At 44.9% G+C, this 24,915-nt stretch overlaps 1 protein-coding gene across 1 annotated transcript in view, besides 1 other annotated feature; it reads left to right on the top strand.

The window, feature by feature from the left end:
- URB1 (URB1 ribosome biogenesis factor) overlaps positions 1-24,915 on the top strand; it is an 81,995-nt gene that overhangs the window by 16,508 nt on the left and 40,572 nt on the right. Inside the window, exons 6-19 of the mRNA NM_014825.3 lie at positions 1,022-1,107; positions 2,733-2,858; positions 3,874-3,998; positions 7,907-8,102; positions 9,750-9,887; positions 13,176-13,349; positions 14,484-14,613; positions 15,382-15,498; positions 16,597-16,709; positions 18,849-18,968; positions 20,940-21,056; positions 21,508-21,646; positions 22,402-22,572; positions 23,599-23,795. Of these exons, the coding sequence (NP_055640.2) occupies positions 1,022-1,107; positions 2,733-2,858; positions 3,874-3,998; positions 7,907-8,102; positions 9,750-9,887; positions 13,176-13,349; positions 14,484-14,613; positions 15,382-15,498; positions 16,597-16,709; positions 18,849-18,968; positions 20,940-21,056; positions 21,508-21,646; positions 22,402-22,572; positions 23,599-23,795 (1,949 nt within the window). The remainder of the gene's footprint in view (positions 1-1,021; positions 1,108-2,732; positions 2,859-3,873; positions 3,999-7,906; positions 8,103-9,749; positions 9,888-13,175; positions 13,350-14,483; positions 14,614-15,381; positions 15,499-16,596; positions 16,710-18,848; positions 18,969-20,939; positions 21,057-21,507; positions 21,647-22,401; positions 22,573-23,598; positions 23,796-24,915) is intronic.
- Positions 24,679-24,788: an enhancer, noted in NCBI's record as "active region_18361". NCBI's record gives its function as "activates an Ori minimal core promoter by ATAC-STARR-seq in GM12878 lymphoblastoid cells {active_cell/tissue: GM12878}" and the evidence as "EXISTENCE:reporter gene assay evidence [ECO:0000049][PMID:35858748]".

Raw genomic sequence — 24,915 nt, 5'->3', positions numbered from 1 at the left:
TGTTAACAGTGTTAACTTCTCGGTACTGAAGCTTTGACTTATTCTTTTGGTTTGTCTGGTATTTTCTGATTTTTCCTTTTTCACAAATAATGAATTTGCTTTTGTAGAAATTCTGTGTGCCCAGTAAGCATGTGTGGAGCAAGGAAATTTGTAATTGTTTTGCTGCTTCTGCCCACTGTCACTACTGCATTAATAATGATAACAGTGTCAAGCTCTGGTGGCCATTTCCTTGGGGATTGAAAAGTAGGAAGAGAAAGCAAAAAGTAAACAAACTAAATCACCCAAAATTCTACTGCCAACTTAAAAAATCATGACCATCTCTTTAAACACATCTCAGCAAGTCTAAGCAAGAGAGAAATTGTATTAGTTTGTTATACCGTACATTCTCTTTCAAATAGTATTTAGTTAATTTTAATATGAGAAAAGAAAAGTAAAATGGAACTAAAGACCTACTGAACTTCTTAAAAAGTTCTGTCATTGGTTCGCTTGTAGGTGCTCTTGATTTCTTTTCTTTCTTCCTTTTTGTTTTGTTTTGTTTTGTTTTTTTGGAGACAGCGTCTTGCTCTGTTGCCTAGGCTGGAGTGCAGTGGTGCGATCATGGCTTACTGCAACCTCAAACTCCTGGGTACTGGTGATCCTGCCACCTCAGCCTCTTAGGTACCTAAGACTACAGTAAGACTACAGGTGCGCACCACCATACCCAGCTAATTTTTAAATTTTTTTTTGGAGACAGGGTCTTGCTATATTGCCCAGGCTGGTCTTGAACTCCTGGCCTCAAGGGATCCTCCCACCTTGGCCTCCTGTAGTGCTGGGCTTACAGGCATGAGCCACTCTGCCTGGCTTCTTGATTTCTTATGTCATGGAAGTGGTTATTTCTACCGGAAACTTGTATAGTTAAAAAAAAAAAACTTGAAAAAGTAAATGGCATTGTTTGCTGTACCACCTAAACAGTAATATTCTCTCGTCTATTCTCATTTTCAAAATATTTTTGAATTTAATGCTTTGAAACTTTTACTTTCAGAATTTATTCCTTGCATTTTTAGCTCAGGGATAAAGGAAGATAGGATCTCTACCATCAATATTTTATTATCCACACTGAAAACAAAGGTATGTGCTTGGTGATCCGCGTTTCTGTTGTCTGTTTTCCCTTGGGAATGGAGATATTCTCCGGTGTTTTACAGGACTGTAGAGCTACAACATCTTATCTTACATAGATTGTTGTATTGGTTGAGTGGAAAACTCTTCCCTAAGCAGAAACTTGTTCTTGTTGATGAGCATATCCTGGGACTAGAAGGTTAAAGAATAGCTGAAGCAGCCAGTGATGTCCAGACATGGCTGCTGTTTTATTACAGCAGCAGAAAAGCTGCTGGTCAACATTTCACAGCAACCCAAAGTAATCATTGTGAGCTGTAAATTATAAATAATACTTCATTCACATATCTAGCAAAATGTTGTTCTGTGTCATGTTCCATATTCTGCCTTTTGCAAGCATCTTATTGATATTTTAAAACTTGCTAAAAAGATCACTGCCTTTAATACAGAAACACTTTAAATCATCAGTAAGAAAAACTATGACCCTCCCAACATGACAAGTTGTCCAGAGTCCACATGAAAATGGCTAATAAGCATGAAAGGACTTTATTTTCGAAGTATTTTAAAGAGTGATTCTCAAATGGGGGCAATTTTGCCTTCTACGGGACATTTGTCAATCTCTGAAGACATTTTGCATTGTCACAACTGGGGAGGTACAACTGGTGCCTAGTGGGGAGACAGCAGGGATGCTGCCGAACATCCTGTAATGCCCAGGATGGCCCCCATAACAATTACCTGGCCCCAAGTGTCAGTAGAGCTGAGGTTGAGAAACCCTAATTTAAAGTAAAGCAAATAATGACATACAGATTTTTTTGCCTACTAAAATAGCATTGACTTTTAAAAACAATGGTGTTCAGTGCTAGCAAGGATGCTTTGAATCAGATACTTTCTTGAGGAGGAAGTGTTGTATCCCCTATGGAAGATAACAGTTCTGACAGGATGTGTCAGAGGTCTTAAATATGTTCATGGACCGTGACGTATGGTTGTTCTGAACTGGGGGAGTTGCATCAGAACCTCTAGGGGAATGTATCTGAAATATATATACCTGGGCCACACCCATAGGGATTCTGGGGTTAGGTTTGGGTGGAGCTGAGAATTTGTGCCACAATTCTACTTGCAGGAACCAGTGTCAAGTCCAAAGTCAGATGCAATGAAGACTATGTTCAAGGATGCTAATCACAGCTTTATGGAGAATAGCCAGAATTTAGAAACAACTAATTGTAAACACCAGGGGAATGGTTAGATAAGTTGTGGTCCACTCATAGGATAGAATGGTATTTAGCCCCCCAAAATGTTCTAAAGGGATGTTTAATGACGTGGAAAAGGCTTATGCTTCATAAGTAATCATATATAAATAAAATCTCAGGCAAAAAATAATGAATACATACACATGTATATTGTGTGGGTGTGGGTGGTGACTGAAAGGAAATATATCAAAATAGTAACGATATCCTAGGATGGTTGGGAATATTGGTGAATTTCCCTTTATGTTTTTCCTTTTTTTAAACCAAATTTTCTGCCACTAGCAAGCATTATTTTTATAATGATGAGAAAACAGTAAGCACCATTTAAAAAATAATTGAATTCCATGAACTTTTTCATAATTTGTTTTTTAATAATTTGTTTTATTATTGTTTCAGGTAGTTCACAATAAAAATATCACAAAAACCCAGAAGGTGCGTTTCTTTACGGGGCAGTTATTGAACCACATAGCATCGCTGTACAACTGGAATGGGATTACCGATGTGAACCCAGAAAATGTCAAGGTGCAGACACTTTTTGGTTTTCGTTGACCTCGTTGTTGGAATTTGATCCTCAGGGTTGGGAGAGGGAGAATTCTCAACACCGCACCAGACTTGAAGTCCCCTCATTTGATCTGTTTCTTTTGACTGTGGTTATATGGTTGTATTAACCCTCTGCTAACTGCAATAGGATTTTTTTCCCCTAATTTCTTAATCATGCTAATAATTTTTTTTTTTAATTAGAAAACTATGATTTCCTTGGGCTGAGCCATATCTTAGTTTTCCCTGCAGCACTTGCCTGTTAGACCTGCAGGGTCATCCCGGCCATCTTTTCCTCTTGCTTTACCTCTGCCTTCCCATCCTTCCATTCTTTCATGTCCAGTTGTTGGAGTTTCAAGGCTTGTTGTGTGTTTTTTGTTTGTTTGTTTGTTTTTAACCTCAGGATCCTGAATGTCTAGGAGCCTCACCTACTGACATATATAATTTATTTTGTGCTAGTTAACTCGTGCTAAATTGAAACAGCTGCTCTTAACATCGACCCAATGCCAGTGTATATTTTAATTTTCTTCAGGGTGTTACTGAACATGGACTTGGCCAGAGTAGTAAAGGCACAGACTTCCTGTTAACGTTATAATAATTCACCTCTCAAGAGCCTAATATTTCACCTCCTTTTATCTTGGAGACTTGCCCAGGTCCTCTTGTTTTGAACATGTTTTTGTATGCTCTAGACCAGCAAGCCTCAGAGGCTGCATAAAAACACTCCCAAATATGGAATTTTATTCAAATGAACAAGAGAAATTAGATCACTTTAAAGCTTTTAAAAATACAGGTTTAAACTTGCCCCTCTTCAGAGTATTCTTTTATCTTGATCGGTGTATCTTTTTGTTGTTGTTTTCATTTATTGTTTGGAATGACACCAAGTATTTAAAATGTTTTCTAAATTGTCATCGGCAGTTAATATTGTCCTTGTTTTTACTCTAGCTCTTACTAAAGTGTATGAGCTTGGGATTTTCATTGAATTTTTAAAAAATCTTCATAGGTTTCTGCCGAAGAAGCAGGGAAAACCATGGTGCGGGAGCTTGTTCATAACTTCCTGATGGATCTTTGCTGTTCACTCAAGCATGGAATTAATTTTTACGATGCATCTTTGGGTACCTTTGGCAGGTAAAGTATAACACTCTTGTGGACCCCAGGGTGTGTATGTTCCTCAGAAGTCACCACATATGTGAGTGTCTAGTGGAACTGTAGTAGGTTAGAACTAGAATTGTGGACATTATCTAACTCGTTTCAGGGTTGAACAGTTGTAGTCCCAGAGAACTTCTCCTTGTTGCATGTCCTCAGGGGCAGTTCTGAGGGTAGCTGTCTATTAGCACTTAGTTAGGTCATGGGATATTTCACCCAGGGAGGTGCTGCGGATGTTTACCTAAAGACAGTGTTCGTCAGCTGGAGCTCAGAAAAGGCGTCTGCCTTGCCAGAGAGGGTTGGCCCTGACATGGGCCTCACAGCAGTCCTGACGCAGGTACCATTGTTATGCCAGCTTTGCAGAGGAAGAAAGTAGTTCTAGAGAGGTCGAGACACTTACACTGGTTAAATGGCAGAGGTTGCACTGGAATCCAGGAAGTCCAGCTCCAAACTGATACTAAAACAGTCCTCCCTCTCCTTGACAGGCTGCCCATGAGTCACGGTTTCAAAATTGTTTTTTTTTTTAACATTTTGTTTCACATTTCACAATTGTGGTAACATTTCATCAGTAAGGAAACATATTAAGTTCAAATCTACTGGTTTTGATCATATTCTTTAAGACTTTCTTTTTGTAATCGTATAATACAGGTCTATGTGATTTTTTTTTTTAATAACAAAAATGGCTTACTACTGTTCATCCTATCTGCTTTTTTCCCACTTGACAATAAAAATATTGGCCATGTTTTCTTGTCATTGTAAATGTGTAAATGATTTATTGTTTAATCCTTGTTATTCTATCCTAGCATTATATCACAAGGATTTAGGCAGTTTGATTTACTTCTAATTTCAGCCAGTCAGGAAATCAGGTGATTCCTTCAGAATGGAATAACATGGTGGGAGTTTTTCTGTCTGCTTATGACTTTGGACGTGTTTTGATTCTGAGGTCACTGTGATTTAACTTGTCACATCATTTCTTTTTTCTTTCATCAGTAAGAATGAGCTCATTTTCCTGCCAAAACATAACAGCAGACTTTTATAGTCGAATAGAATATTACACCATGCTTAAAACACATGCATTGTTCCCCCTTTTTAAAGCATTTTTCCTCCATAACTAGGCCCATGAAATAGATGAGCATTTAATGAGCATATTGAATCAACTTGTGGGTGTGCGTCTCTTTGCAGCAAGCTGTGATTTATGTGAATTTTGAAGCCATGGGCAAAAGACAAGTGTTTGTGCATAAGGGAAAGGAAGGAGATTTGTTTGTGGATGGTGATAGAAAGCTTTGAGAACACTGAATTGCATCGTTCCCTGTTCCCCAGTAGACACGTGGCCCACTCATTCATTTCATTCAGGTTCCTGTGCAGACCTCACCACTTCAGGGAGGCCTTCCCGGACAGCCCTTTCTGAAATAGTCCCTCCACTGTCACTGTGCTTTTTGCCTGGCTTAGGCTTCTGACTGTTCATACATTTATTTGCTGATTTATTTATTTGCTTGTTCATTATCAGATTGGTGAGAAGTGGTGAGAACGGGCGCTGGTCTATTATGGGCCTCCAGTCCCTAGGACAGTGCCTGGCACATAGTAGGTGTTCACTGAAAGCTGGTGTTAGAGCATAGAGCAAGGATTGGCAAACTTTTCTACAAAGGGCCAGATTGTATTTTGGGCTTGGCAGCCTACACAGTCTGTTGTGACCACTCAGTTGTGCCAGCAAAGCATCCATAGATGTAAATAAGTAGGTTTACCTGTGTCCCAATCAAATTACAATGATAGGTGCTGGGCCCTACTTTGCCAGTCGCTGGTGTAGGTTAACAGAGCAGACAGCTGGGCTTCAATCCCAACTTAGCTCTGAGACCTTCACTGGGTTAGGCATCCTCTCTGCCTCCATTATCTTGTCTATAAAGTGGGAATAAAAGTAGTGCCTGTCGCAGAGACGTGGTGGTAACTGCTTAGAGCAGTGTCTGGCATGTGTTGTGCACTACATAAATATTAATGCTCTCCATTTTATTACGTTGTTGATTAAAATAAAGCATGTGTAGTATTTTTAGCACTCTTTGTAGATTTAATATCCTTTTCATTTGACAGTACAAACTATTTTGTTCATGACATTTTCATATTAGGAAAGGATATTTTCATGTCCTTTTTTAAAGGATAGTTTTTCTGATCAAAATTATACTTTCTAATTTGGTTTTTAAAAAACTTTTTTTACTATATGTAAAGCTCTCATATAGCATTGTAGTTTTACTCAATTTATAAGGGGGATGTGAGACACCGGGGACCCTAGAAACCATCACTGTGTCGTGCACATGAGACAGAGTCTGAGGATTTTCTGGATGTTTTGACTTCACAGGGTCAAGCAGATAGGAAAGGGCATATTTTCTAAAAAGACTTTGAAGCAGATGAAGCCTAGTGTCCTGGGGCTTTGGCTGTGTGGATCCTGGGATTTTACTCCCTTTATGCAAGTTTTAGTCTCTGCAGACTTTCCTGCTTCTTACTTTTTTTTTTTTTTTTTTTTTGAGATGGAGACTCGCTCTGTTGTTCAGGATGGAAGGCAGTGGCACAGTCGTAGGTTACTGCAGCCTTGAAGTCCTGGGCTCACCTGCTTTTATTATCTTTTCATACCTTTGAAGACTGTCCACTTTGAGATAACTTTTCAGTATTTTTCTACGGTAGATTTTTTCCACATCCTAGCTTCTTTCATCTGCTAAATGAAAATGAAGGAATTTGAAATAAGCTAGAAACAGGGAAGGCAGAAGGTCCATGCAAAGACCTCGTGCTGTCTTGTCAGATTTCTTGTCAAGAAATAATTTAATGGCGCTCTGGACCATGCAGCAACTCATGAGCAGTTCGTATAAAAAAAACTTTATTTCCAGATGTGGTGGTGTGCACCTCTAGTCCCAGCTACCCAGGAGGCTGAGGCAGGAGGGTCACTTGAACCCAGGAATTCGAGGCTGCAGTGAGCTATGGTCACGCCACTGCATTCTGGGTGACAGAGCAAGACCCTGTCTCTGAAGAAATAATAAAAAATTTTAAAAATTAAAACAAATCCCCCTTTCAAGAGAAAAATGTCTTATCTGCATTTTTTTACACTCACACTCACATATGTATTTACATAGTGCTGTTTTTTTCAGATGGAGTCTTACTCTGTCACCCAGGCTGGAAGTGCAGTGGTGCAATCTCAGCTCACTGCAACCTCCACCTCTCAGGTTCAAGCAATTCTTCTGCCTCAGCCTCCTGAGTAGCTAGGACTATAGGCAGGCACCACCATGCCTGGCTAATTTTTTTGTGTTTTTAATAGAGATAGGGTTTCACTATGTTGACCAAGCCAACATAGTTCAAGGCCAAGGTCTTGAACTCCTGACCTCAGGTGATCCTCCCACCTTGGCCTCCCAAAGTGCTGGGATTACAGTTGTGAGTACCACAGCCAGCCCTACATAGTGCTTTTTTTGTGTGTGGCTGGAGGAGGAACGTCAGTAAAATCTCAAAATGAAATTTGGGGCATGGATTCCTCCCTGCTGGTTTTGTCCTTTCTTTTCAGTAGCCTTGACTTCTAGGCAGACTGGTAGGTGGCTGAGGTAGAGCGAGAGAGAATGGTTTTCTTCCTTTTCTTTAGAAAGCAAATTGAACTCAAGGGAGGGAAGTAGGAAAGAAGAAAGATCGCAGGACAGAGACTTTTTCAGCCACTCAGAAGTAGAGGATGAGAGGGAAGCCCTCTGTGGAGAGCTGGAACCCCCAGGCCACGGAACCCCCACTTTACGTCCTGGGGGAAATTCCCTACGTTGTTATTGCTGTGTTCACTGAGGGCAATTCTGCAGAGCTGCACGTCACCATGAGCTCTCAGGGTGCTTTGACCATTTTCTGCTGACCTCTCCCCATGTGTCTTTCTCTAACAGAGGCGGAAACCTGACACTCTTGCACTTCTTGCTGGGTTTGAAAACTGCAGCTGATGATGATCTGGTGGCTGACCTTGTGGTAAACATCCTCAAAGTGTGCCCGGACTTACTGAACAAATACTTCAAGGAAGTAACGTTTTCCTTTATCCCACGAGCGAAGTCTACTTGGTTAAATAATATCAAACTACTAAACAAGGTAAAAAAACATGATATTTAAAAGTCTGTTAGCTAAGCTGGGCGTGGTGGCTCATGCCTGTAATCCCAGCACTTCGGGAGGCCGAGGCAGGCGGATTACCTGAGGTCAGGAGTTTGAGACCAGCCTGGCCAACGTGACGAAACCTGTCTCTTACTAAAAATACAAAAATTAACTGGGTGTGGTGGTGTGCGCCTGTAATCCCAGGTACTTGGGAGCCTGAGACAGGAGAATTACTTGAACCTGGGAGGCGGAGGTTGCAGTGAGCTGAGATCGCGCCACTGCACTCCAGCCTGGGTGACAGAGCGAGACTCCATCTCAAAAAAATAAGTCTGTTAGCTAGGTAGGGGGGCATAGGGAGTTAGGGGACAGGCAGACATTCTCATCTGGTAAACTATACAATATGAAGACCTTTCAGGGATAAAAAGGGATATTTTAGACCATGTAAATTTGGTGTCCTTATCTTCTATAGCGTTTTGCCTTTCACTGAGCTGAATTTGAGGTTTATTTAGAATCTTTTGAGCCAATTTATCCTGTTCATCAAGATTTTGCTTAGAGTGAAATCTTGTTGAGTCTCAGCACAGTTAGACTGGGATTGATGAGTTGCCCGATTATCTCTTCTCCATCTGGGCTCATAAAAAGTAAAATAAAATGAAATGTCTGACTTGTAGGATAGTTTTTAAAGGTTGCTGCTTCAATTAGAACAACTTGAAATAAGCTGTGGAACGTTGGTCTGCTGGTTTAAGTGGATGTGCGTTACCTTCCTTTTGATCATAATGTCAGCATCTGCCCATTTTACAAGTAGAGGTACCTACTGTTCTTTGGCAGTAATGCCTGACTTGTTTGAACTCTCTGTCACTGATTCATGGTTTGCCTAGTGGTAAAATACCTGGGATTGTTTCTTGTGCCTCTACCTGGGCCTGGCATTATCTATAAAACCAGCTTTTATTCTGCTTGAGTGCCTATGCGCACAGTCTCCACATTTACCCTTGGGATGAGGAGGATGTACTCCACCCCTTGTTTTGGTACAGACAGTCCTGGGGCCAGCACCCCTACTAGGAGCTGCATCTGATGAAACATCTGATTTGTAGGATAGGGGAGGGGTGAGTGTGTGGTTTTTGCAGGCCCAGTGTTGAGTCCTTACTTGGCTGCTTACTAGCTATGTGGCCTTAAGGAAATTACCTAACCTCACTGAGGTCCAATTTTGTCATCTGTGAATATATTTTTGTTTTAATGTAAAGTGTGCCTATCCCAAAGCGTTGTGAGGAAGCTTTGAGAAGATGGCTTCTTGACATCCCTTCCTGACATCATTTGTCAGGTGCCTGTCAAGTGCAGCAAGAACTGGTAAGTAGTACCATTCGTAGTTCTGGCAGTGATTTATTTGCCATCAGAGGTTTTAAGAGACTCTGCAGACCACAGGTCAAGTTCTGCTCTGAAGGTCCTTTCTCTGTTAACAGCCAGTCTCCTGACCTGATTTGTCTTTGACAAGTAGATTTGAGGGTTAATCTTCCACTCTGCCTTGTGGGGAGTCTCGGACCTTTACCGCTATAATTATTTGATTGAATGGCTTCACCTTTGGGTGCCTACAGCTAGTCTCAGGTTTGAAACTTACTTCTAGCACCACCTAAATCTCTTTTTTGCTTTTCCTAGATCTATGAGGCTCAGCCGGAGATTTCCCGGGCATTTCAGACCAGAGAGTTTATACCCTTGCCTCGGCTCCTGGCAATGGTGATGGTGACCACCGTGCCCCTGGTGTGCAATAAGAGCATGTTCACCCAAGCATTAAACGTAAGGCCATGTGGTTGCCCCACTTCTGGAACTGCCTCCAGCTAAACTCGCTGGCTACATGATGTGATTATTCTGAGAACTGGCCTGGATGTGTTTGATTGTGTTTTGTCAGGGGGCCTCGGAGGCTTCCAGGACAGAGGCTGTAGTTTGAAATAGCCCATAAGTGACAGGTCCACGCACCTGGGTAAGGACCTTGGAGCAAAGAGACTTTGCTTCTAGGGACAACGGACTTCATGTCCTTGGCCCTGCTCCATCACACAGCAGGGACCCCTGCATCCCTCCAAGCCTTTCTAGTCCTGCCTGAGGATGAAAGAATGTCTAAATCAGAAGAAAGAAAGTTTATCATTAAAATCTCATTAGTTTAGAATTTCCAGACATGGTAGGACTGAAATTTGCCTAGCAAATTCTTTCTTTTATGGTTTAGATGAATGGTGTTAAGATGCCTGGCAAACATATACTTTGAAGGCCAGCTGTTTTCAGGCATTTTTGGAGGACATGTTCATGGAAGAAATTGATACTTAAATTTTACATCATTATTTATCATAAAGGTCCCCATGTCCCATCAGAAGCCACATTCTGGGGGGTTCACATGTCTTTCACCGCAGCATCATGGGCCTAGGTGAATGGCTGTGGGTTGTTGGCACACGTGGGTCCTGGGCCCTGCCAGTGCCTCCTAACCCCAAGTTGCCTGAGGTACCTGGGGGAGGACAGGTATTCAGAAGGGTGTCTTCGTCCTTCCAGGCAGGCTGAGTTGTTGTGTGGCTTCAGTAGGAACAGGTTGGCTGTGAGGGGTTGCACAGGCCTCAGTTGGCCCTGTGGTAATGCGCACAGTCACTGTAAAGTGGGGTGGACTCCTGAGACCACATGGTGAGATTCACCATTTTTTGATACCCCTCCAGGGTTTGTGCTGAGCATGGGTGATGATGGGGTGAGGAGTAGAGAGGAGGCCTGTGTGGGAGTAGGCAGAAAGGTTTTGTGTTGTGTTTGTCAAATCATCGTATGCAAAATTAGCACCCAGCTAGCTTGCCCAACTGTTTTAATTAATGTGGGAGACATTTGCATTTCTCAGAGGGCTTGCAGGAAAACCAGATTGAAAGGATTAGTTTGATGAACCTCCTTTATTTTTTATTTATTTTTATTTTTTATTAAAATTTTTTTTTCTTTTTTGAGACAGGGTCTTGTTCTGTTGCCTAGGCTGGAGTACAGTGGTGTGATCATAGCTCATTGCAGCGTCAAACTCTTGGACCCAAGTGTTCCTCACACCTCAGCCCCCTGAGTAGCTGGGACTACAGGTGCGCACCACCACACCCAGCTAATTTTCTTATTTTTATTTTTTGTATAGACAGTGTCTTGCTATGTTGCGCAGGCTGGTTTCAAACTCCTGGCCTCATGCAGTTTTCCCACCTCAACCTCCCAAAGTGTTGGGATTACAAGTCTGAGCCGCCACACCCAGCCAGATGTGCCTCCTCTGTGGGCTGCATTTGCTCTCCCTTCCAAGCTTGCTCCTAGTAGTCTGGGAGAGAAAAGCCTGTCTCCTCCTCCTCTCACAGTGTTGTTTCAGGACAAAGGGTTGTGCCCCTAGAGGGGTGTACTAGCTCCTGCACGGAGTGGCTCCAAGGAAGGAGTCTCAGAGGACACAGCCTCCTCTCCCGCTGTTGGCTATTGCCATGCCCTGCAGGGCCAGGGCCAGGGCCACTGAGCCCAGCCTTGCCTTCCCTCCACAGGTGCCCTTTCCGAGAGCCAAGACTGTGTTTTTATGTAAGTGAGACCCAGTGATGTGAGTGCATCCAGGGACTGGAGTTGGATGATGTTTGTTTTTTTTTGTTTTATTTCTTATGGTTTTGTCTAAAAAACTTTTAAAGCATACATTTTAGAGTCAGGAGGAGAAGCTTTAGCCTATTTTAGAAACAGGAAATAAGAAAGCGTTTGGAAGCAGGGCCTCAGGCTGTTGGTTGAGCTTTGTGCTCCCAGCCCCTTGGGTGTGGTGTGCACGCTTGTGTGGGGCCTGCCTTTGAAGCGATTGTGGGGCTGGCCATTCTTGGCTTAGGATAGTTCCTGTAGTCCTGATTTAGTGTGCAGTGTACACAGAGTGAAGCCGCAGCTGACTGGAATGCTGGGGCTCTGGGGTGTCGTGGTTATTGAGCTGAAAGTAAACCAGAAAAGCTCTTTGTTTCTACCGCACTGTCAGTCTGCAGTGTCCCAGCCAGGGCTTTTCAGATCTCAGTGTCGGAGGGCTCTCCTGGGGATTATGTGAAATGCAGATTCTGCTTGAGTTGTGTGGGCCGGGGCCTGGGCTTCTACATTTCTCCTGAGCTCCGGGAGATGCCATCATATGATCCTCCTGGCCCCAGAACACACTGTGACTAGCAGGGGCAGGGACTGTTTTCCTACTGTTGGTAGTAGCACAGGTTCTTGAACCCTACTCAGTCTCTGCAGTGAGTGACTCTCCCAGGTGTCATTCTGACTGGAAGTCAAGAGCTCTGGATGTCACAGGCCTGTGATGTGGGTTGCTTGCTCATTGAGCTTGGAGGTGGATTTTCATACTAAAGTACCTGATGCATTTTTTTTTGGCCATTCCTCCACCTGATGCTAATGCTTTTAATAGTGGTAGAATCCTGGGCAACATAGCAAGACCCTGCCTCTACAAAAGGAAAAAAAAAAAGGCTAGGCACAGTGGTTCACACTCATAATCCCAGTGCTTTGGGAGGCTGAGGCAGGAGGATTGGCTTGAGGCCAGAAGGTTGAGGCCGGCCTGGGCAACATACTAAGTCTCATCTCTTAAAAAAAAAAAGAAAGCCAGAAGCAGTAGGTGCCTATAGTCCTGGCTACTTGGGAGGATGAGGCGGGAGGATTGCCTGAGCCCAGGAGCTTGAGGCTGCGGTGAGCTATGATCGCACCATTGCACTCCAGCCTGGGCGACAGAGTGAGACCCTGACTCAAAAAAAAAATAGTGGCAGAGTGGGTTCTGGTGAGATCTGTTGTTAATGGAGAACTTTCATGGTAGCTGAGTGGTTGTCTCAAGGCTTACCAAAGAGCAGATGATAAAAATGAAACTACTGCTGGATGCCACCATTAGTGGTCATTTCCTGGCAATTGCTGAAGTCAGACCCAGAGGATGTCAGGAGGGCGAGGTACCCAGGTCGCCTCTTCTCAGAGCGTAGAGACCAGCAGTTTCATGCAGCTTTCCCTGTGAGTGACCTGAGGAGGGGCAAATGCCAGCCAAGCCCATAGCTTAGCAAATCTGTGTATCCTAGAGACATGTGTGCATTTAACTCTTTTTCTTCCCAGTTGGACAGCACCTCAGTGAGGCACACAGCCTTATCCCTTATTTCTGTCATTTTGAAGAGGGCATTAAAAACTGTTGACCACTGCCTGAATAAAGAGGTGTGGCAGGAATCAGGCGTGTACACAGCTGTGATGATGGAAGAATTCGTGCAGCTCTTCAGAGAAGCCCTGAGCAAGGTAGGCTCTGATCTGGGTTTGGGCTTTCCTTCCAGACCTCACCAGGTGGAAAAGGCCATTCTGCAGCCCTAGGGTGGAAGCCAAGTGATGTGTCCTTGGAGCCGCAGGGTTGGACAGGCCGGTGGGCAGTGTGGTAGCGTGGGTGCTGAGGGTCAGCTGAGAAGACCTGCCACTTGTGATTGTAGGCAGTGATGTCACAGAGCATGATCCCAAAGTCCTTGTGCAGAGTAAGAATTTAGACGATACATGTGTTCTCTCACAGGGGTTCTGTCTCTGGTGGGGACCTCATGTTCAATCAGGAGCCGTGGTGATGTTGTCGAGGGGTAGATTGTGTCCTTACCCCTCACCCATGGCTGCAGGCACACACATAGACCACACTGTGGCCCAGTGAGAAGGGATGCAGTGGCTCAGGAAGCCCCTCTTGCTTCCTATGGCTGAAGACCAGGCTTCTGTAAACTGGCCGGCTGCTCTGAGAGCCCCAGTTACACAGGGCAGCTTTCCCTGAGCTGCTCCTGAGAAAGTCTTTCTTTGTTCCCTGTGTCTTTTGCTTAGGTGAATGAGGTTTAAGGGGTTCGTTTTAATGATCAGCACTTGCCTGTTCACCAAATCCTTACTGTGTATAGTTCTAGAAATTATACTGCAGAACATGGTTGGGCGCGGTGGCTCACACCTGTAATCCCAGCACTTTGGGAGGCTGAGATGGGTGGATCACCTGAGGTCAGGAGTTCAAGGACCAGCCTGGCCAACATGGTGAAACCCTGCTTCTACTAAAAATACAAAAAATTAGCTGGATGTGATGGTGGGTGCCTGTAGTTCCAGCTACTCAGGTGGCTGACGCACGAGAATCACTTGAACCTGGGAGGCGGAGGTTGCAGTGAGCTGAGGTCACCCCACTGCACTCCAGCCTGGGCGACAGAGTGAGACTCCATCTCAAAAAAAAAAAAATTATACTGCAGAGCAGAACTTATGTGGATTTGGGCCTGTTTTCTCACCACTCTTCCCTCTCCTTCTTACACGCACTCCTCTAGACTCGCACCCCCCTCCCTGTTTTTTGCATCTTGTTAATGTGTTCAGTTCATTTGTCTCCCTTTGTGGTTGACTACAACTAATGTTCTGCTTCTTTTTCCCATTTAGATTTTGCCAGACCTGAACACTGTCGTGTGGGTCTGGCAGTCACTTAAAAAGCAAGAGACCAAACAGGATGACAAGAAAGGGCAGAAAAGGAGCGATGGGCCCCCGGCTGCCTGCGATGCTCACCAGTGCGGTAAGGTCTCAGGGGTGAGGGGGACCCTCTGCCTTTTGCATGGGACAGAGCTGACACTGGCAGCCTAGGATAGCTCCTATCCAGAGAGTCCTGGAGCAGTTTTTGTTTCAAGGCACCTCTGGCTGTGAATGTGTCTATATCCTTTTTTGCTTAGGGAGAAGAATTGGAAAGGAATCATAGATTGAATTTTAGTATCTGTTAGAAACGTGCCCATCTTTATGCGAGCACTGTGTCTCTCTGAAGACTTGAGTGTTGGGTGCCATGTGCTCTGGCCTTTCCAGGGATGACAGTATGGGGGTGCTGTCTCTTGGTTTGCAGATAGAGCTCAGAGCCTTGTTGTTGGTCAGGCATTGAGGTTTGTGTCTTATGTCTGTATCGTATTTCATCCTTTCGGCAGCCCTGCAAGGGTAGGCCCTGCTGTATGTCCCTGTTGCTCAGATGAAGACACGAAAGCACAGGGAGACAGAGTGACCAGAACCTGTCTAAGGTCACAGCAGTGAAATGAGGTTTTAACCCAGACCCCCTGAACAGTTTTAACGTTTTACCACATTGACTCATTAGATCTAGGTACTGAGCAGTCTGTCTGCAGCCTCGGTGTACAGCATGCAGTTGGCTGCAGTGTGGTGCCACACTTGGTTCAGCTGCTCAAGGACAAAGAACCAGTATGTTTTCTAATTCAAGCTATTTTCTTTCTTTCTTTCTTTCTTTCTTTCTTTCTTTCTTTCTTTCTTTTTTCTCTTTTTCTTTCTTTTTCTTTTTTTTGTGCAGATGATGCAGAAACCATTCTTTTGAAAGCTGTTTTGCTCCAGGTCATATGCCTCTACCAGAAGGTGGTCCCCCACGTGGTCATGCAGTACAACTTTGACTTCAGCAAGCTCCTGAAAGGTGGGTTTCAAGGTCTTGCAGACAAGCCGCCACTGTTGCTGCCAATAAACCAGAGCAGAGCCCTGCAGCCAAGAATCAGGAAGGCTGGTGGACGGTTGGCTGCGTGCTCATCCGTCAGCCTGAGAAATTGTACTTGCATCAGTATTTTTTAAATAGCTGGTCTTCCTTAAGTAAATATCAGATGAACACCTGGTAGCAGTGAGAACAATGGAAGAAGCCAGCCAGCTTCTGAGTGCTGAGCAACCTACATGAATGGCCCACAAATCCGATCATGTGACGTTAACTCTAAAGTCACTTTTCAAGGGAGCAGGGTTGCAGAGGGTGTAGCAGAAATGAGGGGCCTGCAGAAGGGACATCCTGTTTATGCAGAGACACTTTTGACATAGTTACTTCATCTTTTACCCCACTGAGTCAGGTTCAAACTTGTAAAAGTAACAATGCTTGTCTGGTCATGTTTCCTGGATGGTAAAGTTTGTCTGATCCACTTTATAATTGGGCCTATGGGAGAAGACTTGCAAAAATATCATTCTTGGAATTTATATGAGCTATTGAAATACTCCTTTTCAAAAGCTGCAATTCACTTTTTAATCATTTGAAGGTGAAAAGTTCTCTTTGCTGTGGAAATATGAAATTTACTAGAATGTGGCCATTTAGTATTTGGTAGCAAAGGAGAAGCCCAGAGAGCCGGCTAGAGGATGAGAACCCAATCTCAGGTGCAGGTGGCTGCAGTCTCTGTCCACAAAATGCTTGCTGTCTGGGGAGTCAGGGAGAATGTTAGCGAGAGCCTACCCCTGGAGGGCACTTGGTGGGTGCCTGATTCCAGCTGTTTGGGGTCAGTGTGGGCTGTGTGGCATGGGAGGGCTTCTTCAGGCAAGTGGGATTTGGGCTTTTTGTTGGAAGATTTGGACAGACCAGGGCGTGGGGGTACATCAGGCGAGATGTGCCATGTGAGGGTGAGCACAGGACAGAGAAACAGAACCCTGCATCCACCCTTTTTCTTTCTCCATGGTGAGTTCCTTGTCCTTCTGGCCAGGGCAGCAATTGTTGGGCACCCACGTCCATGTGACTTTTTTCAGCCTGCCTCTTTTTCACCCATAGGTGTCATCTCTGAGCAGGGCCTTCGAGAGGAGGTGCCTCCCATTCTGCAGCACCACATGCTGAAGGTGGCCCTGGAGCTGCCGGCCAGCAAGTTTCTGTGGTTAAAGGCACAGGTAGGAAGCAGAACTCCCAGTCTTCTGCCCTAAGCTTACCTGCTGGGCCGGGTGGCTTCTTGGCCTGATGAATTGCTAATTGGCTCAGAACCTGACGGGGCAAGACGGAAGAGGTTAACAGTTCTCATTTTAGAGAGACCCACAGCAGAGGTCCTGATTCATGAACCAGGAGGCCTGGGAACCTGCTTGCTTTTGTAAAATATGGTGCTTAACATGTCCTTGCTGCAGATACATTGCTGGGTCCAGGGAGTTTCTTGTTTATCTCAACTGTTTTACATTTTACATTTTTCTCATTTTTAAATAATAAACAAAATAAAATACATTCCTTTTCTTTTGTCCTCATCCTGGAAGAATTAAAGACGAGATGAGAATAGATAACCAAGTCAGGAGAGGGTTGAGGCTGGTGGAAGAATCAGTAGACATTGCCAGCATTTTTTTCTAGGTCTTTAATAAAATATCTACCAGAACTTTTTGGAGAACATAATGTTAAATCATAAAGGGAAGCTCAGGATGCCACATATATTTATGCTGGGCTTAAGCCCAGGATGCTGCATCATTTCTATGCAAAGAGGAGGAGGGAACATTATCAAGCAAAATTAATCATTGTCCAAGTGTTTCTTATAATCTGAGCTGATGTACTTTTTAATGACTTAGATCTTATATGGAACCAGTAGTATGGAAATGTATGTTGGCATTTCTACACGCGACATTTCCAGGAAGACTTAAGAATGCTGTGCCTCTGGGACTATGTGTCTCTCCCTCGAGTCCCCGTTCTGAGGCTTCCCTGCATCGTAGCTGAGGATCATTCTTACTGAGAACTTACTCGCATGCTGGGCAGGTTACGGGTGCTTCATGTGGCTGCTCGTTTCACGTTACTTAAAGACAAGGCAGCTGGGCACAGTGTGTCAGAACCTTCTGCAGGGTCCTGTCCATGAGTGGTGGGTCCAGGATGGGACCCAGGCGGTGCTGCCTAGAGCTCTGCTTGCCACCATTCCACTGAGATGTGAGTTCATTGCCACCAGTCCTGGGGAGGTGACAGGCTCGGGCATTGCTGATTGGTTTTCACTCCAGCTCAACTAGGCTCATGGGATCTTGATAATTTAGTTGGAAAGTGAACAGAGGCCTCATAATTTGAAAGAGCTGGTGTGAATTTATATCCTGCGCCCCACCTTATGCTTATATCTGCTGGCTCTGCCTAAGCTAACCAGCACCTCACCATTTTCAGGGTTGTCCTCATTGCCAAGGGCTGTAGTGAGACACACAGGCTCAGTAGAGTTTGAATTGGGGATCTGGAGCTCCATGTACTTGTTGAAGACTTGTTCAAAGCCCAAAAGCCTTTTGAGGAGGATAAATTATGCATAAGCAATCCGTTCTATCAGCACTGGCATCGTGATGAAAGTAACAAGGACATCATTTGATGGACTCAGACAGCCTGGGGTCCCTCCTGCTCACCATCCACCAGACAGCACAGCATCTGCCTTGGTTCCCAGTAAACAGCCAGGTGCCTTCCCAGTGCCTCAGTTTCCATATATGTAAAATAGGGTAGCAGCTGTACCCACCTCACAGGGGTGTTGGGAGGATTCAGTGAGTCAGTGTAAGCTGGGCCCCTGGGACGGCTCCAGCACAGGAACAGGGCTACCTGTGCTTACTCTTGCTACTCTTCCTGCCAAATTGTGGTTAAAATGAGATGAGGTAAGGACCTGGCAGCATACTGTGTGTTCAGCAAGTGATGGCTCCTGCTACGTTATGTTTTGTTTTTTGTTTTTGGAGATGAAGTCTCACTCTGTTGCCCAGGCTGGAGTGCAGTGGCGTCATCTGGACTCACTGCAACATCTGCCTCCTGGGTTCAAGTGATTCTCCTGCCTCAGCCTCCCAAGTAGCTGGGACTATAGGCATGCACCACTATGACTGGCTAATTTTTGTATTTTTTAGTAGAGACAGGGTTTCGCCATGTTGGCCAGGCTCGTCTCCAACGCGTGACCTCAGGTGATCTGCCCACTTTGGCCTCCCAAAGTGCTGAGATTACAGGTGTAAGCCACCACGCCTGGCCCCATGGTATGTTTCTAATATATAACTATATATTAAAATTATATATGTAATTATATATACTAAAAATACGTAATATTGTTTAAACTCTAGGAAGGCCCAGATGCAGAAATTATTGGAGGTGAACGATCAGTATTTTACTTACTAATGAAAATGTTTGTGACCAGTAGCCATTTACAACTGAAGTCATTGACCAAACTTCTGATCATGAAGGTGAGCATTTTCTACCAGTTTCTAACTCTGAAAAGCATTTTGTATAGATCTTCCTTATGGTAAGTGTTTAGTTAACAGTTATTGAATTCAGGAGGTATTGGAATTGTTTTTAGTTTTAAAATAGAAGGTTTTATGGCAGTTTAATTTATTGTGTCTTACACTTAGCTACATTCCTGGGAGGCAGCCTGGTGCATTGGAAAAATGTTTTTTTTTTTTTTTTTTAGGTAGGTCATTTCTAGCTTGTTGTAGGCTCAATACTAAATTTTGGCTTCTTGGTGTTTATTAGGCAGTGCCTCTTTCCTCCTTCTCAGGCTCTGGCGTTATCCAGGGCTTTCAGCCTTTTTGCCAGAATCCATCACCCACAGCACATGGGTCATCAAAGCCAGTGGAAGAGAATAGGAATTTATTTCCTTATCTTGTTTTGTCCTTGATACTCATGTTTCCAGAGCTATGTCAGGTCTTATGATAGCAGTAGGACATCTAGTCCTCATTTCTGCTCTGCAACAAACAGCTTGGGGGATGCACTATGTTTAGGGTACAGAGGTTTGACCTTTCACTTTTATTTGAAATGCTGATAACCTTGCTACACTTACAGCCTTCTCTCTTGAGCTGCTTAAAGAATGTGGCAGTCTAAGTCTTGACCTCCATAGGTTGCCATTTCCTTCCAGGTAGTGCAGTTGTGAACCTGACCCCAGCCAGATTTCGTGATCACTGACTGCAAATAGGTGAAATTGGCACAGTCAGGCTTTCCTTTGGTGCATGCTGTTGCAGGGCTCTGTGCCGTGAGGCCTCTTAGACTCTGAGTTTCTGCTTTCAGACCATTTAGGGAAATCATTTCGTCACTTCTGCACATTCAAGTCCTGCCTCATACCAGTTTCTCTTCTGTTGGAATAGTGAGTCTTGAGGTCTGCATTTGAAGTGATATGATGTGACTGGCTCGTGACCTTGGAGAATTTCATACAGGCTAAGGGTTGAGTAGCTGTGAGGGGTCAAGTTTTACACATTTACCTGGGTCTTTGTGAAAATCCAGAGGTCTTTGGCTCCTAAGTAGCAGCCAAATTTTTTCCCTTCTTTTTATTTAGGAAATGAGGATAAACGATGAGTAGCCTTGAGAGAAGGGATCATATTGTCTTTTTTGTTTGTTTGAGACAGGCTCTCGCTCTGTCATCCACGCTGCTGTGCACTGCTACAATCACGGTTCACTGCCATCTTGACCTTCTGGGCTCAAGTGATCCTCCCAACTAAGCCTCCTGAGTAGCTAGGGCCACATGTGTGCGCACCACCACTAACCCGGCTACTTTTTTAATTACTATTTGCTGTAGAGGCAGAGTCTCAACTATGTTGCCTCCGCTGATCTCAAGCTCCTGAGCTCAAGCAATTCTCACACCTCAGTCTCCTGAAGTGCTGAGATTACAGGCATGAGCCCCTATGCCTGGCCAGATTATATTGTCTTTGAGAGAGCATAGAATGATTTGCTTGTTTCCCTCAACAATTGGGGATGTTATGTTGAAAGACTAACTTTCAGAGAAAAATGGGATGAAACTTTCACCCCCTGCGTGCTCCTTGGGCGTGTGGTGCTGGAGCACAATGAAACTGCTTGACCTCCGACAGAAAGTGGGTCCTGTAGGCTGGGTGTGGTGGCTCATGCCTATAATCCCAACACTTTGGGAGGCCAAGGTAGGCAGATCACTTGAAGCTAGGAGTTTGATACCAGCCTGGCCAACTTGGCAAAACTTTGTCTCTGCTAAAAAATTAGAAAAATTAGCTGGACGTGTTGGCACACTCCTGTAGTCCCAGCTACTCAGGAGGCCAAGGCAGAAAAATTGCTTGAACCCGGGAGGCGGAGGTTGCAGTGAGCCGAGATCATGCCACTGCACTCCAGCCTGGGTGACAGAGTGAGGCCCTGTCTCAAAGAAAAGAAAGAAAGCGCGTTCTGTTCTGACTTTTTCACCGGTGCCTACTTCCTGGCAGATTCTGCGGGACACGGGGGTGTTTGAGCACACCTGGAAGGAGCTGGAGCTCTGGCTGGAGCATTTAGAGAACACCATGGAAGAGGACAAAGAGACTGTGATTCAGTTTCTGGAACGCGTAAGCACATATTTCCCACATAAAGGAACATGCTCAGAGATAATTATATTAACTTCTTAGCGTCATCGAGGCATTTTTGATGCACCAGCACCAAAAGGCTTCTCGTCCTGGCTTACTTCCTAATTCTTGCTGAGACTTCAGAATCTACATAGTTTTAGAATCTGTAAAATACGTATATATTACAGCATGCTGTTTCATTTCCTTTTGGGAATTTGTTTTTGCATAGGGGAATAGGTAAACCAAAAGTGGTATTAAAAGCAGTGCTATAGTAAAAGGAGATTTTTTTTTAACTCCACAATAAAAAGTTTAGGCCCAATTTCATAGTAAAACTATTCTAATTAAGGATTGAACATATTATCACTTGCCTTGATTTTGACCAGTGACATTTTTTGGCTTCTTCATTTCACCTGTGACCATCTGAATGCTTTCTATTTGGCTCTTTAATGCCCAGATTTTATTGACATTGGTGGCGAATCCCTATTCATACACAGACAAAGCATCTGACTTTGTCCAAGAAGCAAGCATGCTGCAGGCCACTATGACGAAGCAAGAAGCCGATGACATGAGCATTCCCATCTCCCACATTGACGGTATGTTCCATTCTGTTCTGCGCTGCTCAGAGGTCTGAAGACCAAGCCACAGTGACGTGTTAAGAGATTGAGAACAAGAACTGCACTAATGCCCTAGGCCAAGTGCACACAGTCCCTTTGCAGCAAAGACCAGCCTGTTCTGGAAATAATCTCCTTATGTGTTCATGTAATGGGAAACACTTGTTGTTTTATTTGCATAGTATTTACTGGGTGCCAGGTAGGGTTTTAAGCTCTTTTTAAGTTCTAACTCATGTAAATCTCATAAGCAACCCCAAGAGAAAAGAGTATTATTATTCTACTCATTTTATATAGAGATAAAGCGGCTGGGGCACAGAGAGGTTTAGTATAATAACTTGCTCAAGCTCATACAGCTACTACATAGCAAAGTCAGGATTAGAACGCAGGTACTCTGGCTCTGGCCTGTGCTTTAACCCTCACACTATTTTGCCTCTCAGATTTTGGCTTGTTTGCCTGAATATCTGGGTTAAAGTTCCTGGGCTTCTTGTGTCACTTGAGGAAACTTCAACCTATTACCACCTCAGCTGAATATCCTGCATTTTATCAGACAAAGATACAAAAGATTTCATAGGCAATGTTTTTGTCTGTTTAGGGTCAAACTATGTTAAATGCTCCCCCCAAGAGGAATTTGGCTTTTTTCTTTTTGCACGTATTCTGCTTCTGCCTCCCTGTGGGTATTTGCAGTGAAACCCTTCAGTGGCTCTCACATCAGCTGGATTCTCCTCTTTCTGTCTCAGATGTTCTCGACATGGTGGATGTCCTGGTGGAGGGCAGTGAAGGCTTGGATGAGGAAATAGGGTTCACGTTGAGTGAAGACATGATCCTGCTCACGTTCCCATTCAGTGCGGTAGTCCCTGCGGCCCTGGAAGCCAGGAATAAGTTGCTCCTTGGGACAGGCAATGAAGCAGGTACCTATGTATAGTCAGGATGTCTTGGCTGCACCTGGCCGGCTAGTCTGTGCAGGGTGGGAGGTGGGATTCCAGGGGCTCTGGGATCAATTGCTGAGAATCCAGGGCAATAGGAGGTCAGAACCCCCAGAGTGATAGCTACCCAGCCAGCAGAGCTAGGAGCACAGTGGGAGGGATCTTGGGGCTGGCTAGGCTTTTGGGAAATTGGTCATTTGAGCGTGAGTCTGAAATAATGTGTTTGCCTGGCTGCCCAGACAGCCTCTGTAACGTTGATGTTTTTTCGTCAACATTTATTCTTGATACGTTGATGTAGAGGATGAATCCTTCATACTTGTTGGATTTTCCAGGCAACTTAGACCCAAGGAAGTGCTCACAGATTATAGTAGCATGATTGGTTGGGAGAACTCAGGCTTTGCTGCAGTAACAAATAAGCCCTGACTTGTCAGTAGTTTAATAAATAAGGGTCTGTTTCTAGACCATGCTGTGGTCCAATACAGGCCAGGTGGCTCTTCTGGTTGGCTGTCCTTTAGGAGGTTGGTCAGGGATTCAGGCTGCTCCCGTTTTGTAGCTATGCCATCTCAATTTATGGCTTCCAAGATCACCATGGAAAGGGAACTGGAAAGGGTGGACAGTCAAGCAAGGGGTGTTATGGCCTGGAAGTGACTAACCAGGCATGTGGTCCCAGCCTACACGCAAGAGAGGCTTGTGTGCCGAGGCACAGTAAACGGATTGGTGAGCACCTAGCAAGTCCTGGTCCCAGGTGGCTTTTGCCTGGCCTTTTACATGCCTGGGTCTTCACTCCTGGGCCTCGGGAGTGGATGTCTGACTTTGCTGTATATGTTTAATAAAACAGAGCCTAGTACAGTCTCCAGTAGTAGCAATTCCTTCCCTGTGGTTATGTGTCCCCTCATGGAGTTGCATGAATTTTTCAGGGTCTTGCCTGTATGTGGAAGAAGGTGGTGTTGGTAGGTCACAGAAGGGTGGGCCCAGCCAGCCTCTTCCCATATGCATCTCGTTCCTTTGCAGCGGAAAACGTTGTGACATATCTGACGGCAGTGCTGACTGACCTCCTCCACACCCAGAGGGACCCCCTGGCTCTGTGTCTCCTGCTCCAGGCATATGATAAGCTTGAGCCTCCATGCCTGGTGCCTTGCTGCCAGCAGCTCTCACGGTTTAACAGATACTACAGCCTCTGGATCCCGGAGCAAGCCCGAGAGGCCTGGGTGAGCTGCAGCCACAGCTGTGGTCACTGCTGCTGTGCAGGGTTCTTCCCAGGGTCCCAGCTGGCTGGGCCACAGCTGTGCAGTTGGGTAGCCAGACAGCCTGCAGGGTGAAATTTCTTACCCTAAAGTCCCCTGCATAAGAGAGGAAGCTAAGTAGTATCCCTGGTGCTCAGCTAACATAACTGAACACACAGGACTCAGTGATGCAGCCAAATTAAATTCCCCATTGGCTCCCTGATAATGATAATAGGTTAATTCCTCTTCCAGCCTGGGGCAGGAGCGTTGCCTCTTCCTTTTTTTCCTTACCTTGTTATCTGTGCGTGCTTGTCTCCTGGCTCTCCTCTGCAGACCTTAGCATGGCCCTAGACAAACTGTGCTCAGCTGTCACACATGGCCCCTCAAGGCCTCCAGCAGGGTCTCTTCTGTTAAAGTTGGGGAAGGAAAGGAAAAAGTATATTTTCTTTTGCTGGGGACTACATTCTCTTAATGGGATTCTGGCTCCAATGTGCAGGGTATTTACAATGCTGTGTGGGGCACGAAATTTGTGGTATGCATTTTTGTGCATTCATTTCATTTTAGCTGCATTCGAAAAAGCAGTCAGTTTAGACCCTCCTTATCTTGTGATATTGGTAGCAATAGCCAACAGCGATTGCATGTTTTCTGTGTGTTTTTTGGAGGCATACCGGGTCCTGTACTAAGTGTACTATGTGTATTTTTGGCCGTTTAATCCTTACTGTAACTCTGAGAAGTAGGCCGGGACTCTCACCATCCTTTATGCATATGGGGAAACCGAGGCCCAGAGCGGTTCCAACACCAGTCAGTGGCGGAGTCAGGATTTGGCCCAGGCAGTCTGGCTCCAGAGCCCTGACCCATAATGTTGCCACCTTCCCCCACACGTAGGCCACAGTGATAGCCAGACAGCAACTTATGTGGCAGTATTAGAGGTTCTGTCCTGCCCCTCGTGGTTGCTTGGAGTGGGTGTCCACCTTCTGTGGAATAAGACTTAGCAGTGGTTCTCACCCTCCAGGGTGTGTCGGAATTCCCCAGAGGGCCTTTTCAAACTGGACTGCCGGGTTCCAGCCACAGTGTCTGGCCCGGCAGGTCTGGGTGGAGCCTGAGA

Source organism: Homo sapiens, chromosome 21 (genome assembly GCF_000001405.40).
Source record: "Homo sapiens chromosome 21, GRCh38.p14 Primary Assembly".
NCBI classification, from domain to species: Eukaryota; Metazoa; Chordata; class Mammalia; order Primates; family Hominidae; genus Homo; species Homo sapiens.
This window is presented reverse-complemented; position numbering and strand designations above follow the sequence as displayed.